At 39.1% G+C, this 18,312-nt stretch overlaps 1 long non-coding RNA gene across 1 annotated transcript in view; it reads left to right on the top strand.

Annotated features, from left to right (window-relative positions):
* Nucleotides 1-18,312, top strand: part of LOC105374506 (uncharacterized) — a 165,476-nt gene that overhangs the window by 100,859 nt on the left and 46,305 nt on the right. The window contains exon 3 of the long non-coding RNA XR_939997.3: nt 2,747-2,837. This is a non-coding gene — a long non-coding RNA (uncharacterized LOC105374506). The remainder of the gene's footprint in view (nt 1-2,746; nt 2,838-18,312) is intronic.

The raw sequence follows: 18,312 nt of genomic DNA, 5'->3' as shown, positions 1-18,312 counted from the left end.
AAATAGAAATAGGTATTTTATAATAAGTCACTTTTTAGTTGGAGTCCATAACTAAAATGAGTTGATAAACCAGAATTGGAACTCAAACCTCAATTTCAGTCAAGATGATGAAATGAACAGGGAAGTAGGGAGTTATGAGTAGCTTGGCCATTTAGGGATGTATAGAGTTTTTTCCCAACTATTTGGAAGACAGTCATGCACATCTATTTGAGTGCCAGAATTTAGATTTGCACCTTGAGTGTTATGGAACTAATTTTACTACAGATATCTTGACTGGGTGATTTTATAACTTTGAAGGTTAATTTTATGTAGTTTTAGCCATTTCCTTTTTGCTTTATCTTTCTTTCACAAAACTAAGAAAACATAATGACAACTAACCATCAAACAAAGCTCATTTGTTATAATGACAAGTGATAGTTGTTTGTAATTATACCATTCATTTTCATTAAAAATAATAATGTTTGCACATAAAACATCAATACCAAGTAACTTTTTTTTTTTGCTTTTCTAAGCACCAGTTTTTAGATTTAAAAAATTGTGCTTTAATGTGTATAAAACTTGGTGATTTTTAGTTAAGTCCTATAGATGGGCAGAGAGGCATTCAGCCAAGTATATACATTTGATAAATAGTTAGGGGATCAATTAGCTCTATGGCTACAAAATGCCTATTATCCCAGCCTGTCATCACAGCAAAGCTGTTTTCTAAGAACATAAGGAAGATCAAACCAGGACAGAATGGCAACCCAAGGCCTGTAGGTGGAAGTGGAGAATTGATGCTGGGGCCTTATCAAATAATGGCAGAGAGCCTGCGATAGCAGAGTTTGTCACCAGCAGATGGAACTCCCATAGGATGACTCAGCTAGGATACTGAGATGTTGTGCTTCAATGTCTGAGACTCATTTCTCTACAGTTTCTCTCTTTTGTGTTTCATAGATTCTTGTTCAATCGTGTTTCAAACTATTCTGGTTTGCTAAGAATCTTCCTTGTCACTTCCTCTTTTCTTCACGAAATTTCCTTGTCTCTGGGTTTCAATCCTAGTCAGTTCCTTCTCTTTCTTCTCCTTACCCCTGGTACTAGATGTATTTATTGCTGTCACTAGATGTCACTTCTTCTCTAATTCTCACATGATTGGGTCTCAGTTTCTTATCAGTCCTCAAGTGCCCAGAGAGTCATTCTTCACATTGAATTAAAACACATGATAATCTTTTTTCTACAGTTTCATGCTTCTTGACCTAATTATGCCTTTGGCACTACTCCCTTCAAAATCCAAATTCCCTTCAAACCATAAAGTAAATTAATATCTAGACGGAGGTCTGCAGTGCCAACAATAGTATTAGTAAGTAACTTATGATGTGTGTATGGGGAATAGAGAGAGGAGAGTACAACCAATGCTGGACAGAAGTGTAATATGGGTTACATGATTGTAAAATAAAAAGTGTGTCTGGGAAAGGAGAAGAATTAGGGGATTTCTGGGGTTGGGAAGACTTCAAAGATCTAATTCTTTTGCCTTGAGAGAGAAAGATTAAACATGAAGGAAAGGGAAAAATGTAAAGATTTTGTCGGGTTGACTTATTTTGTCTCCATTATGCCTATTGAATTGAAGAGGGATTAGTGTGGTAGAACCAATAAAGAAATTGCTTGCCATGTTAGCATGCACCAAAGCAGCACAGATTTTGAAAGATGCCACTGTAAATTTCAGTGCAAATGCCCAGGCAGTTAACAGGAGGTTGAGGACAGTTCTAAGTCTAGAAAGTTTATTGTACAATATTCATTTCTAATAAATAAAATATTACATTTTAATTTTTTGTTTAACTTGACAAATATTTCCTGAGCACTTACAATAGACTTGGCTATGCCATGTATTAGAGATACTAGAAAGAGAGAAAGAAAGGAAGAAAGGAAGGAAAGATAAAGTAAATAAATAAAAGAGAGCAAAGAAGGAAAGGCTGGAAGGGGGGAAAAGGAAGAAGAAAAAGAAACTTGGTTTTGGTTCTCAGAGGATATATCTCCATATGAATTTTGTCATTATCTTGGGTTGTATCAATAAACTGCTAATGAATTGGAGTGCAGTCACAATCTAATGAATGTGAATATTATAGTTTGCTTTAAATATATGAGCCAATGCCTATCACTTTTCTTTGGATTATGTATTTTGGCCCAGAAATAACTGAGTGGTTGCTTCAGCTAGCTACTTCATCTTGGATATAAAGAACCAGACATGATGACATTATTCATAAGTGTACCACTAATGTAACAACTCTAGTTGCTTATTGCTGTTGTTTGATTTGACCCTTTTCAGATATCTGATGCATGCTTCTTTTAAACCACTAATTTCGGTCAGATAGTCAAGTGGATCTGAAGGAAACAGTTCAGTGACAGCTATCCTTTTCATGTGTTGATGGTTTGAAGTAAGCCTGGGATAGAGACAAAGCCCATAAGTTAAAGCTACAATGTTACCCCATGATGGTGAAGCAGGATGTTATGCATGAACTTACAAGTTCAAGTAGGAGCTTCATTTTTTTTTTTTTTCAGAAATTGAGAACTCAAGGCCATAGCTTTTGAGAAGCAAAGGCTTTACTTACTCCATGTTCTAAGTTTAGAGAACTCACAGATGCTGGGCCAGCCACTTTTCCACAGTGATGACTAAGAAGTGCCTGTTCATCAGAGGTGACCCTTGCAACCTAGCCCCATCCCTCTTGGTTGATGTTAGAGAAAGGCTGGTAGTAAGCTGGTATGCCTTTTGCAGGGAGTGCATTCTTCATGAAGAGAGGCCATCTTCTGCATTCTCCTTCCTGTGGCTGAAGAGTGGGGCACTCAACTTGTTGCTTTCTGTCAAGGTAAGGGAAGGGGCTAAGAGGATCACTCATAAACCTTAGACTTCTCTGCTAGAGGGAAAAATGATGTCCAGTTTCCTGCAGGATTTCTGCCAAGCAGCTAGGCTTTGCTGACCTGCTCTGTTGATACTGGATTGGCAAAGAGCACTGAGGGGATTTGGTATGGTGGTGCAGCTCCTCAAGTTCCCAGTTTCTAGAGGTATGGGAAATAGGCTTATCTATGCCATAGGCTCCAGAGTTGAGGGCCATGGTGGGTATATGAGACTGGGGTTGTAAGTTTGCTGGGGACTGCTGTAACAGGGAGCAAATGGTCATACATCAGAATGTAAGCACTTGGGGGATACTTAAAACAAGGGTGGAATAAGCTTGCAAACACATAGAAAAATGTCTGATTTCTTTTTTCTTTACATATATCAGTATCAAAAATAACCCAAATGAAAGGGTTGGGGACCAGAGACTAGAAATAGTGCTAATGCAAGAGCATTCTCACCTATTGTGTATTTAAACAATTTTCTCTAATTGTATAATTTAATATTTTAAGTGAGTACAATGAATTCTTAAAAACACACATGGAAAGCTTTAACTAGTGCATGTTAAGACTGATAAAAAATCAGATTAATGTGTCATAATGAAACTCACGGCCCAGAGGATAAAGAAACTCAATACAACATGGTTGGTGATGGTTACGGTGAATGTAAAATTTGTTTTACATTTATACTGTGTGATTTGAGATTGCTCAATTTCAAGAATTACAGTTCTGCTCAGTGAGCCCTGCAGGAGGTGGATAGCCCCAACAGCTGGTGATTCTTGGAATCTTTCATCCTTTGCTGTGAGCTTTAATGATTAACTCAAGGAAATCAGCATATATTTCGCCAAAAATCGCACGCCGTCCTGCTACACTTAACAACACACTAGACAAATACATGAAGGACAAACATCCTACTTAATAGTGACATTTTAAAAGTTTTCTCATTGTTAATAGGAATGATAAAAAAAATTCCATTAATCAAACCTTCTCTGCAGCATTTTATTGAGGGCATTAGCCCATAAGAATAAAAGATATAAGGATTGGAAATGAAGATATATAAATTTTCATTATTCACAGATGACATAATTTTATATACAAAAATCTTCCCAAATCTATATATAAATTATTAGAATAAGAGTTTAGCAAAGATGGCAGTTAATGTACAAAACTACAATGACTATCTTTATTAGAAATTTATAGTTGTTAGAGACTGATACCATTTAAATAGCTTTAAAAATATTAAGTAGTAATTATAGGTTCCTATAGGATTATGGTGACCACCCAAATTTGAATTTCTTCCCATATCTTCTGAAAATATTAAAAAGAAAAGAAGAAATGCACCATTTAGCATAACTAGGAGACAGAGAATACTACAACTTTATATTAACTCATGAGGAAATATTGACAACCAGGAGTCATCTCTGGGTCCCAATCCCATAAAGAGTCAGAGACTGTGCAGAAAACAGTAGAGGGCAGCCAGGTACTAGAAGGCTTGGAACAAAGATTAAATTATCCCCTGAACAAAGGTTCTTACTCTGAGGGTGGAGTGGAAATACTGAGAATCAACTGGAGCCCTTGTGTAGTAGACTACCAGAAACTGGGGAATCAAAAGGAAGGGGCTTGAAAGTTTATGGGACCAGAAGTGAATAACTACAGGAGGCATCAATTATGGGGTCCCAGGAGGTAACTTAAAAGAACAGAGGTTTATCTCTGAAGGATAACTGATGGAGGAAAATAAAGAAGCAAGCAAAATATAAAAAATAAGTCTGTTTTCACACTGCTATAAAGAAACTACCTGAGACTGGGTAATTTATAAACAAAAGAGATTTAATTGACTCACAGTTCTGCATGGCTGGGGAGGCCTCAGTAAACTTACAATCATGGTGGAAAGGGAAGGGAAAACAGGAACCTTCTTCACAAGGTGACAGGAGATAGAGCAAGCACAGGGAAACTGTCACTTTTAAATCATCAGACCTCATGAGACCTCATGAGAACTCACTCACTATAATGAGAACAGCATGGGGAAAACTACCCCCATGATCCAATCATCTTCCACCAGGTCCCTCCCTTGACATGTGAGGATTACCATTAGCGATGAGATTTGGGTGGGGACACAGAGCCAAAGTCAAACCATATTATTCTGCCCCTGGCTGCTCCCAAATCTCATGTTCTTTTCACATTTCAAAACTAATCATGCCTTCCTCAACAGTCCAAGATATAATGGGGGTACAGGCATTGGGTTAATGTTCCCATTCCAAATGGGAGAAATTGACTAAAACAACAGGGCTACAGGCTCCATGCAAATCCGCGACTCAGCCTGGCAGTCCTTACATCTTAAAGCTCCAGAATCTCCTTTGACTCCATGTCTGACATCCAGGGCATACTGATGCAAGGGGTGGGCTCCCTCAGCCTTGGCCAGCACCACCCCATGGCTCTGCAGGGTACAGCCCCTGTAGCTGCTTTCACCAGATGGTGTTGAATGTCTGTGGCTTTTCCAGGCACATGGTGCAAACTGTAGGTGGATCTACTATTTTGGGGTCTGGAGGATGGTGGCCCTCTTCTCATAGCTACACTAGGCAGTGCCCCAGTGGGGACTGTGTGTGGGGGCTCCAACCCCACATTTCTCTTCCATACTGCTCCAGCAGAGGTTCTCCATGAGGGTTCCACTCATGTAGCAGACTTTTGCCTGGACGTCCAGGAGTTTCCATACATCATCTGAAATCTAGGTGGAGGCTCCAAAGCTCAACTCTTATCTTTTGTATACTCACAGGCCTGATACCACATGGAAGCTGCCAAGGCTTGGGGCTTACATCCTGTGAAGCAATGGCCTGAGCTGTACCTTGGCCCCTTTTAGCCACAGCTGGAGCTAGAGCAGCTAGGATGCAGGGCATCAAGTTCCAAGTATGGACAGAGCAGTAGTGCCCCGGGCCCAGTCCACAAAACCATTTCTTTCTGCTAGGCCTCCCAGCCTGTGATGGAAGGAAATGCCATGAATATCTCTGAAATGCCCTGGAGACATTTTTCTCATTGTCTTGGCTGTTAACATTCACCTCCTTGTTATTTATGCAAATTTTTTCAGCCAGCTTGAATTCCTCCCCAGAAAATGGGTTTTTCTTTTCTAGCACATTGTCAGGCTGCAAATTTTCTAAACCTTAATGCTCTGTTTCCATTTTAAACATAAGTTCCAATTTCAAACCATCTCTTTGTGAACACATATGACTGAATGCTTTCAGAATCAGCTAGGTTATATCTTGAATGCTTAGCTGCTTATAAATTTTTTTTGCCAGATACTCTAAATTACCTCTCTCAAGTTCAAAGTTCCACAGATCTTAAGGCAGAAAATGCCACCAGACTCTTTGCTAAAGCATAGCAAGAGTGACCTTTGCTCCAGTTCCAAATAAGTTCCTGATCTCCATCTGAAACCACGTCAGCCTGGACTTCATTGTCCATAACACTATCAGCATTTTGCTCAAAACCATTCAACAAGTCTCTAGGAAGTTCCAAACTTTCCCACATCGTAGTGTCTTATTGTGAGCCCTCCAAACTGTTCCAACCTATGCCCATTACCCAGTTCCAAGTCACTTCCACATTTTAAGGTTATCTTTATAGCAGTGCCCCACACCCACTACCAATTTTCTGAATTAGTCTGTTTTCATACTGCTATGAAAATACTCCCTGAGACTGGATAATTTATAAACAAAGAGACTTAGTTGACTTACAGTTCCACATGGCTGGGGAGTCCTCAGGAAACTTACAATCATGGTGGAAGGTGAAGGAAAAGCAGGAACCATCTTCACAAGGTGGCAAGAGAGAGAAAGCACAGGGGAAACTGCCACTTTGAAAGCATCAGATCTTGTGAGAAATCCCTCACTATCATGAGAACAACATGGGGGAAACTGCCCCCATGATCTATTTACCTCCCACTAGATCCCTTTCTCAACACATGGGAATTACAATTCAAGATGAGATTTGGGTGGGGACACAGAGCAAAATCATATCATAAATGCCCTAAATAAAATTAGTACTGAATAATAAGAAATACCAAATGTCCCAAAAAGGTACATCTATTAAAGACACTGCAATTTGCTCTACCAACTAAGAGGGTGATCTTGAGCTAAGAAACCATTAATCCACCAAAACCTTCACCTTAATTTCTTCCCATGGAAAAACACCTGTTATTTAAGGTTTGGAAAAATCCAAAACATTTAAAAATGAACACAGTATGTCAGGCAACACCCACACCAAATTTATTCAAGAATGAAATAAAAAGTGGAAATCAAAATTTTTCACATGGTAAAAACACTTTTCACCTTTCTCATCACCTGGAAAACAACCAAGAAGCAGAAGACGACTGAAATACATCTCAGCATTCATTAAGTATCACAAAACAAGCATTTTCACATATGACAGAGAATTTTGAATCAGAAATTCAACAACAGAATGGAAATGAACAACAACAACAACAACAAGAAAGAGGAAGATGTGAGAAAAATGATCAAACAAACTCAGGGAAGAAAGAAGAGAAAAATTTTAAAGCTCATTTCAGAAATGTAGATGAAATTATGACATACTCAAGAAAGAATAGGTAAATGGACTAAAAACATAAAGGAAAGGAATAGAAATAGCCAAGAATAGAAAAAACAAGTTAAAAAACTGAATGTATCAGTAGGTTTTAGATGTAGAACCTAGGCAAAAAAATCTAACATACATGTCTTGTAGTCCACAAGTAAAAAGAAAGTAATAAAATATGTAAATAATATTCAATAAAAATGGCAATTCAAAAATATATTTACACTCTCATATGGAAAGGATCTATTGTGTACCTGGAAAATTGATTATAAATTGTCACCTCTGAGGCATATTTTAGTAAAATTATTAAACTTAATGAACAGACTTGAGATAAGCAAAAAGATCAAGTTATTTATAGAACAAAGGAAATTAGACTAACTTTAGACTTTTGACAGCAAAACAGCATGAAGCAAGGCAACAGTGGAGGAGCATTGTCATAAAACTCAAGGAAACATAATTTAAAGGTTTTATAAACATTGATGTTATTCTTTAAGTGTCAAAACTATAGAAAAATAATTTTAAGCAGGAAGAGCTCAAGGAATGCTGAATTTACAGACCTTCCTGTGTAACCCATTAGAAGATCTGCCTCATTAAACCAAGACGTGACTGGAGCTAGCTCAGTAAAAGGAATGATGTTGAGTGTTGAATATATTTAATTGTAGATTTAAGACCAAAACGAAGGTTGCAGCAAAATGGGAGGAATAGTGTTTGAATATTACCCGTTACGATAAAATAGAAGTAACACAACTGAAAAAACAGATGAGGACAAGCAAGAGAGAAAGTAGAAAATAGAATAAGCTTATTAATTGCCACATAGGAAATAGGAGGAATTAAAGCCACAGCAGAAGGTTAAGGATAAGGAAGAAGGCCTACGAGCATTACAAAAAATACTGGTATAAAGGTCACCTTTATAATAAAAATATAAAGTTTTCTAAATATAAAAATAAATACATGAAAGCAAAGAAAATAAACCTATAAACATATTAGCAGAAACAAATTAAATATAATACAAACAAATATGGGGTGGAAACTCTACATTAAAGTTATATGATGAACTGTAACTGGGCTAAACTCATCAATTAAAAGGAAATATTTTCTGATTAGCTCATAAAAATATTAAATTTTTATGTAACAGACACTATCTACAAAGTGGCATGTTGGACAGCTTTGAAAAAATGTAGAAGAATTTTATGCGCTGATGTGGAGTTAATTCCAGGATATCTTAGGTTAAAGTACAAAAAAGCAAAAGGAGTGAATATAATATGCTATTTACTATTTTCTGTGTATTTTTCTCCCATCCCCTAACCTAGTCCTTTAAACTGTTTACTAACAAATTACTAATTGCTTGAAGATGGTGACCGGAGAAATTTAAATTTAAATCATTAAGGGGCTCTAAAACTTGAATATCAGTTTAAAACTCATCTTCTTAAAGGCTATAAATCAAGAAGAATATAGTATTTAATCTACAAAAATGCACCTAGACACAATTGTGTTGAGGAACACATGTCCCTACATAAGAGATACCTGTATCTAATGTGGGTAGACATTATTTCTTAGACAAATTTGTTCATGAGGCAAATGGTTATTGTATCTAATGATCAAGCTTCTAAAAAAGAGAACCAGTTTTAAAACATCATCCTTCTTGAATAGCAAATGAACGTATCAGTGGCAGATATAATAACCTGGATCATAGAGCATCTATCCCAACTCTTCTTGGTATTCTCTTCCATAGTGCACATGTTGGAAAGCTAAAAACATTTCTCAGATATCACTGTGGCTCAGGTTCTCGATATAATTTGGGCTCTCCAATCAGACACACAGATGAAGTTATACATTCAAAACTGAATTAAATGGAGAAAGAGGCAACGATGTGCAGAGATCCATTTTGCAAATATTATCCTAGCATGAGTGGCATGGCACTAGGGTCAGCAGTTCTGGCAGAAACTTCTGGACATCCAGACTATGACCCAGGTGATGTGATGCTAGAACCAGTAGTTGGCACAGTGGCTTCGTACCTCTGAAATTTCCTGGCTATAGTAGATGTAGCTGTTCCCCTGGTGGGCCAGTTCTGGGGTGTTCTGGGAGTCAGCCTTGGAGCGGATGAACAATTAGCTTTCTCTATTAAATCTCTTTATTCTTAGAGTGGCTAGAGTTAGTTCTCTTTTCAGAAATGGAACCCTAACTGATAAAATATACTAGGGAAAATACCTCGAAAATTTGGTGTGTGGTCTCTTCATGTTCCTAAGCCATAGAATTCATCATAGAACACCCTGAACTATTAAACCTACCCCTGGCTAGCAGCCTTCGATATACTGAGTAAGCTGGCTATTCATCCTCCAGTCTCCTTTGATATGGTCATTAGAGAATCCTAAATCCATCATTGCCTTCCTTTCTTGCTCCCACCTCTTATTTGTTCACTCTTCAATGATTGTAGCAGCTACTGCCACATCAGTCAAAGCAACCCACCTCTATGGATTCTGCAGCCTTCATTACAGAGGGATGATTTAAGATCTTTTAGAATATGTTAGAAATTGACAGACTCAGTCCTGTTATCTTGGCATATATGGCTGAGGCTAAAGATATATAGGGCCGTCCTTACACCTACGGTTCTTTGTCATGGGGCTTTGGGGCCTGGCATAGGATCCAGAAGCTTTGTTGTTACTGTTTCCTGGGTAGATCAGTTCTTGGAAAGGTCTTAAAGAAAAGGAGGATTGTATTCTGTTACAAGAGTTGATGGTTTATCTGGGTTAAAACCGGACAGAGACCTGGAGTTTCATTATAGAAGAACTTTGCTTGGGTCAAACTCAGAAAATGAAAGGAATAAATTTAGGTTGGCTCCAAGGCAAAGGAAATTATAGGATAATGGCAGAAAAAGCGTTGGGTTGCTTGTCACATCTGAAGCACAACTGGAAGGTTATTTAAAAAAGGAAAGGTAAAAAAAAAGTTTAAAAGGAGCTGTGTCTGCTGTCATGGTGAGGGCATGTTTATTTTTGTCTTAGGCCTTTGAGCTTAATTCAAGAAAAGCTCTTCCCAAAAGCTTTATGCTGCTGGCTCCCCTCCTGTCAGAGGCAGTATTAAATAATAGTTGAGAACATGAAATCTGGAGACAGTCTGCCTCCAAATCCCACTTTTATCCATCAGCATATCTGTGACCTCAGGCTCAAGATTCATATCTTCAGTGCTACGGTTTGAATATTTGTGTTCTCTCAAAGTTCATATATTGAAACGTAACTCCCATGGCAATGATATTGAGAGATGGGCTTTTTGGAGGTGATTAGGTCGTGAGTGTAGAGCCCTCATAAATGGGATTAGTGCCCTTATGAAAGAGACCCCAGAGAGCTAGGTCATCCCTACCACCATGTGAGGGCACGATAAGAAGGTGCCATATATGAACCAGGAAATGGGCCATCACCAGACACCAAATCTTCCAGTACCTTGATCTTGGACTTCCCAGGCTCCAGGACTTTGAGAGGTAAATTTCTGTTGTTTGTAAGCCTCCCAGTCTATGGACTAAGACATTGACATTGCCTGTGTCTCCATTTCTAGAACTGCAAAATGGGTATAATGATAGTTCTTTTGCAGTGTTGTTATGAGGCTTACATAGGTAATTACATGTCAAGCAGTCAGAACAGTGTATTGAATACTCATATAAATGTTAGCTATTATCATCTTTCAGATTTTGGTCCCTCCTCAGAGGCCCTTGATGGTAATCATTGCTAAGAGATGTTTCCCTCCCATCACTATCTGTGAGTATCCTAAGTTATTGGCTTCCTAATACTGTTTTAAACATTTATTAATATATTTATTTCCTCATATACATATAGGAATAAACGTTCTAATGGAAGGTATGATTCATTCTTGCATATACAGACAGCATTGTCTCCCATAAATATGAAGCAAATTGCAGTTAAAAAGGGGTAGAAGGAAGCTGGTCTTCTGGAAGCCAGGGATTAAAAAACCGTAATAGGAGATATTTACTGGACACCGCTATGTTCCAAGTACTATGGTTAGGTCCTAGGCCTGGGCCAGGGAAAAAAAAACTGCAGCCTGGAAAAGATCCACTACTTCTTATGTGGACTGGGAAACCTGGCAGAAACTCATCCTAGATAAGACATACATTTAACGTGAAATTAGAAAGAGAATGCAAACATCTAGTACAGAATGGGAAGTGAGGAGTAATTGGGAATAGCATGAATTTAGTCAGGAGGCAAAGAGAACTGAATATGCCTAGGAAGGCTGAACTTTGTATTCATTCTTAGGATCTAAAAGTTTTCTATTGCCCAGGTATGTTTTCATGAGTAAGGTAAAGTTTAGAAGATGTGAATCTGGGCTGCATGTGGTGGCTTGCGCCTGTAATCCCAGCACTTTGGGAGGCCGAGGCAGGCGGATCATCTGAGGTCAGGAGTTTGAGACCAGCCTGGCTAACATGGTGAAAACCCTTCTCTACTAAACATACAAAAATTAGCTGGTGTGGTGGCACGTGCCTGTAGTCCCAGCTACTCAGGAGGCTGAGGCAGGAGAATCGCTTGAACCTGGGAAGCAGAAGTTGCAGTGAGCTGAGATTGCACCATTGCACTCCAGCCTGGGGGACAAGAGTGAGACTTAGTCTCAAAAAAAAAAGAAAAAAAAATGTGAATCTGAAATAAGAGGGAAATAGCCACAGGGGGAAGAGTCTCAAAACCTGCTGCTACACCAAAGATGTGAGAATACTAAAAGGCCCAGACCGAACAATAGCAGGTGTACATTCTGTACACCAGGCTCAGTAGCTAGATCCCCTTAGTCACTTGCAAACAAGAAGACCATAAACAGGTCATATGATCCTTAGCCCAATACTCACTCATGGGCATACAAAGAATGAGGGTAAAGATGTTAGGAGAGAGAAATCAGAAGTCTTTGGAAAAAGCTGTTAGAGAGTTATGAAATGGAGAAATTGCCTCCCCTTAAGCAAAGCCCAGCAAAAAGAGATGACATGCACAGCTTGATATGGTCCTGTGAGGGACTGAAAATGTAAGGTGAACCTATATCAAGGTAGCTGCCTAGTTGTACTACAGAAAAAAATAGATAATATGTTAGGTGCCAGTGGCAGACAGGGCAGAGGTGAGTGCCTCAAGAGGGTCAGATGAGGACTGCAGGGTCAGTATCACATATAGCTTTCCTTACTTTTTGAGTGCCTCAAGAGGGTCAGATGCTGGGGGACATCCAAGGGAACTTCAGGTAGAGGTTGGAGGAGGATTGTTAAATACAGAAGCTTAGAGTGTCAAAATTGCAAATAACCTTACATTTATTAATAACTCACTTCTCACAGCATGCAGAAATTAAATCTCAGAAAAGTTAAGTAAATTGCCCAATTCATGCAGCTAGTTAGTAGGTGACCATGTCTACATTACCACAGTACCAGAGGAAGATACAATTTCCTGCCCTTTACCTCCCTTCCCTCCCCCACACCTCCCCTTCTCTGGAGGAGTAAGAGTGCGGCCTAGGTAGGGGTGGGGTGGGGTGGGAGAGGAGTCAAGTATAGGTGGGGATGTGGAGAGTCAGACCTCTTTTCTTATTGCAGTTTGCACTGTAAGGAAGAATTAGTCCCACAGACCTGGGAAGCAGGAGGAAAGAATGACATTGTTTTCTGCTTTCCCTCTATGCAGTTCCACTGCTTCCACATGGCACACATCATTTGTTGAGAAGTCACTATGTAGAGAATGCTGGCCTCAGAGACATACAGAATCTTAGAGAGGGCTTTCCACTTATGAAGATAGGTAGATAGATGATAGATAATAGATAAATAAAACAGAAAACACAAGAGATCTGAAGTCAAAACATTTTCATCTATAGCTATAAGATGGCTATTATTGTTAAATGGCTGAGGAAAATTTTATGGAGGACAGTAGGCTTTTTAGTATCATGGAGAAGGAGGTCTACATCACAGAAAGCAAGGAGAAAGCTCAGTGCTGTGAAGTAAATTTGTGGAAAGATGGGAACAGATAACTCCTGAAGTTAAAGGAAAGATGTAAAATACATTTTATCAGGCAGAACAGAGTAGGTCATCTTCGGTAACAAAGAGGAGGACAGTCAGAGGAACAGGATTTCTGTTTATATTTAATTTAACTTTCTGCTATAATATAAAGCCCAGTAAGTCACATTGCAAACTAATATTACTGGTTCAGGCCAGATAGCCTATGGGAGTCTTTGTTTCTGTAATTGAAAAGCTATGTAAGAATCAAAGATTTTCTGAATGAGCTATCATCTGCATCAACAAAATGCAGTACACCACGGGAAGTGAAAGATGCACTTGATTATGAAATGTCTACTTTATTTAGAGGGACATATTTGCAACAAGGGTAAATAGCAAGCTTGCTCATTTTTATTTGCTGAATCTGTTCACAGATTGGTGATAATTCTATTATTTATGGTAATGGATTCACAATGTTGATTATGGAATGTCTTTTCCTGGCAAAGAAGGAGGAGGAAGAACAAAGATTGTGTTTTCTCTTTAAATGCCTAACCAATTTTCCAGTGTTTTTAATACTTGGAATATGGGAAGTTTATGCATTAGATAGCTGGGTGTAGGGGGCTTTTGAATGGATGCACTCATTTCTGCCCCCTGGTCTAGCTATCTTAGCTCAATGAAGTAAGGAAAACTATATGTGATACTCAAAAATATCAAGTCTCTTTTCAGCTGAGAGTCCTAGAAAAAAAATTAAACCATATGGCATAGGCTGAGAATGTGGTTCATTCTACTTTTTAAAAATCAGGTATATTTCATATTGGACCCATTTCCTGACTCCTTTATAGGCAATGATAATTATGTTGATACTTATGTCTGACATTTAAAAATGTGATTCTGAATCTAAGAGACCTCTAGGAAAAAGGAGAAGCAATGCACTTTGAGACATTTAATGCTTTTGCCATTGAGGGCCCCATAATATTTGTATAATGTAAATATTGACAAATAAGTTAATTAGTTTAATACAGTTGAAGGCAAAATTTTCACTTCTATTCCATATCAAAATAACAGAAATAAAAGAGCAGCTAGTAACTTGGCCTTGAAAGGTGTATCATGGAGACGGTAGGAAATTCCCCAAATTTCCTCCCCAGCACTGAGATTTCCCCTTGCTTTCTGTGGTGTGGGCCTCCTTCTCCATGATAGTAGCTTGTGGCTCTTGGAGGGCAAAGGATCTACCCCTCTAGTGAATTTTCACCTTTGTTCATCCTTGGGACAATTATTATTTTTGTAGCACTATTGTGCCAAGTCAATATTTCCATGACTCTCAGAGTCTCTATCCAGTATCTGTAGATATGTTAATATCAGCACTCTATAGCATACAGCAGAGGTCCCCAACCCCTGAGCCAGGGACCCATACCAGTATTTATTCATGGCCTGTTAGGAACTGGGCCACACAGCAGGAGGTGAGCGGCAGGTGAGAAAGCATAGCTTCATCTGTATTTACAGCCACTCCCCATTGCTCACATTACCACCAAAACTCCACCTTCTGTCAGATCAACAGAGGCATTAGATTCTCTTAGGAGCGCGAACCCTATTGTGAACTGAACATGTGAGTGATCTTGGTTGCTCACTCCTTATGAGAATCTAATGCCTGATTTGTCACTGTCTTCCATCACTCCCAGATGGGACTGCCTAGTTGCAGGAAAACAAGCTCAGGGGTCCCGATGATTTGATACTATGGTGAGTTATAATTATTTCGTTATATATTACAATGTAATAATAATAGAAATAAAGTGCACAATAGATGTAATAAGCTTGAATCATCCTGAGACCATCCCCCTCAACCCCCCATCTGTGGAAAAATTGTCTTCCACGAAATTGATCCCTGGTGCCAAAAAGGTTGGGGACTGCTGGCATACAGTCTTAATACTTAAATACTTGTGCCTTTTAAATATTCAGGACTAGCTTGTTTTATTTCAAATGCTTGGAGAATTTATTTTCAACCTTCCCTCTGGATTCTACTGCTCTTTCCCTATCCCACTTCCACTACTCCCCTTGAAACTTTCAACACCCCCAAGTATTCTACAATATGTGTTATATATCGAACCTGTTTTTTTTTTTTTTTTTTTTTCTTGAGATGGAGTCTCACTCTGTCACCCAGGCTGGAGTGCAATGGTGCGATGTTGGCTCACTACAATCTCCACCTCCTGGGTTCAAGTGATTCTCCTGCCTCAGTGTCCCGAGTAGCTGGGATTACAGGTGCCCACCACCACACCTGGCTAATTTTTGTATTTTTAGTAGAGACAGGGTTTCATCCTGTTGGCCAGGCTGGTCTCGAACTCCTGACCCTCATGATCTGCCCGTCTTGGCCTCCCAAAGTGCTGGGATTACAGGCATAAGCCATCACGCCCAGCTCAAATCTGTTTTTTTCTGCAAAGGGAATTATTCTCTGTTGCAGAATTTGGGACTTTTTAAAAAAAAAAAAAAAAAAACAAGGAAAGCACTAGAGTGTTGCCTGAAGAAAAAAATGACAACAAACTCATAATTTTAAAATCCTTTAATCATTCCTTAGCCTCCAGCCCAACGGAGGTTAAAAGAAAAAAACAAAAACCACAAAAAACCTCTCAGTAAATGATGCTTCTAATTTGTCCTTGTCGGAAAATACTGACTTGTCATTGGGGGATGTCCTGGGTTTCTTTTTACCATTGAATTTCCAAAGTACCTCATTTATTTATCTTTCTTTTTACCTGACATTTATTACTTTCCATTGTTAACAACACAGATCTTAGATCAAAAATAGGCTAAAGATAAATGGGTTTAACATGTATGCATCATAAAAGGCTGCTGTAATGTGTTAAGTCACTTAAATCAAGTAGTATAAGAATTTCTTGGCTGGCTGACAATGTAGCAGTAACCTCTGTATGAGAAAAATATTTCCCTTGCCCTATTTCCCTTGCACTATTTCCCTTGGGCACTTTGATGGACGATCATGTGTGGTTAGTCACCTGCCATTTTAGGTGCCAATGTAAGTAAAATTTTAAAAAGTAAAGCTCTTAGTTTGTAATATTAGTAAGAGAGTCCTCATTTAAAGACTAATGGTATTAAAATTCTTTTTAAAAGTCTTTTTTCACATTCATACAAACTAAAAGTAGAGACATCATGATCAGAGCTCTAACATATGTTTGGTCTCTTTAGAGTAAGATATCCATTAAATACTCTGTGTGAAAGAGGGAACCACTATTTTTGTTTCTAGGTGATGAATGTCCTATTTTTCCCTTTCATACAAACATAACAGACTGATCTTGCCTAGTTCTCAGTGGAAATTTATCTGATAGGGCCAAAGGACCATACCAACCCTACCCATGCACATAAACACACCATCCCCCAAATATATATTTACCCACATAATTGGACTGGGAAAGACAGTCTATGAGGAGAGAAATGTTATGCATGTGTGTCTAAAGTAAGAACAGTAAAATTATAGGGGAGTCTTTCCTGAGTCCATGAGGATTGCATGGGTCTAAGTCTGTACCTCTTTCTAGCTCTGCTTCACATATATCCTAGTTTTGGTCAAACCGGGACTAAAGGAAGATCATCTTGTCTTGGGTATCCTATAGATTTTGTAATTCATGCACACCAGGAAACAGCATCCCGGAAAAGGTGGTTATCTCCTAAAGGAGCAGTGCAAGACACTGAGGAGACCTTGATGCCCAGTGGGGCATGGCAGATGCCCAAGGTGCATGTTTGATGCCAAGCTGAGGCCTGGTGGGCAAATGGCAGCACCTGGTGAGCACTGATTTTTCTGAGTGCTGTGTGAGATGCCTGGAATACATAGAAATGTTCTCGAAGAGGCTGAGGTTCACATCAGTATATAGAGGCATTTAGGCAGTGGCATTTGAGTTTTCATGCTAATGCTAATGCATTTTCATTTGTTCCAAAATCTGGTGGGGCTTTGAGATATTTTGGTGATGTAAACTTCCAAGTGCATTGAAGGCGAGCTGATTTTGCCTGGAACCCAATTTTAAGTACAGTATTTCATAACAAAGTTTTTCAAGATTAAGGATATAAACACTTCAGCTAAATCTGTAAATTTAAACCCACGGTATTTTCATAAAACACATTTTATGTAAATATATATATATATATATATATCTATCTCAACTCAGTTTAACTGGTTTTCACCAAATTTGCACAAGTCATGTTAGCTCCTTGCATTTCTCAGTCCCAAACAACTAAAACTACTGCTCAGTCTAGTTCATAAAGCCACCCAAACAGGGCAGAAGACACTGAGAGCCCCAGCCCCTATGGCTAGTGGGATTTTCTGGTGGGAGATTGAGACATCAGTGTGCCAGGGAGGTTGCCCATGTAATCTCCAAGTCATGCCATTTGCCTACCTTTCCAATGCTGAATCAGTCTGTAGAATCACACTTTTGTCTTGGTTTACCATTTTTTTTTTTGAGATGGAGTCTTGCTCTGTTGCCCAGGCTAGAGTGCAATGGCGCGATCTCAGCTTGCTGCAAGCTCCGCTTCCCAGGTTCACGCCATTCTCCTGCCTCAACCTCCCGAGTAGCTGGGACTACAGGTGCCCGCCACCACGCCCAGCTAATTTTTTGTATTTTTAGTAGAGACGGGGTTTCTCCTTGTTAGCCAGGATGGTCTAGATCTCCTGACCTCGTGATCCTCCCGCCTCGGCTTCCCAAAGTGCTGGGATTACAGGTGTGAGCCACCGCGCCCAGCCTTGGTTTACCTTCTAAGGACTTCTGTTCCTTGAAGGAACTAGAGCCGTTTTTTAAATTTTACTCTTCATGCCTGGGATTCTGATAATATTAATGGCATTGGCCAGTTCTTACAGAGGACTGGACCCTGAGGAGAGATTACTTCCCCTGTCTTCCCCCTATGGCATTGATTCATCATTCCTTGGGTTCATGATGCCATCGCCA

This window comes from Homo sapiens, chromosome 2, assembly GCF_000001405.40.
Source record: "Homo sapiens chromosome 2, GRCh38.p14 Primary Assembly".
NCBI classification, from domain to species: domain Eukaryota; kingdom Metazoa; phylum Chordata; class Mammalia; order Primates; family Hominidae; genus Homo; species Homo sapiens.
This window is presented reverse-complemented; position numbering and strand designations above follow the sequence as displayed.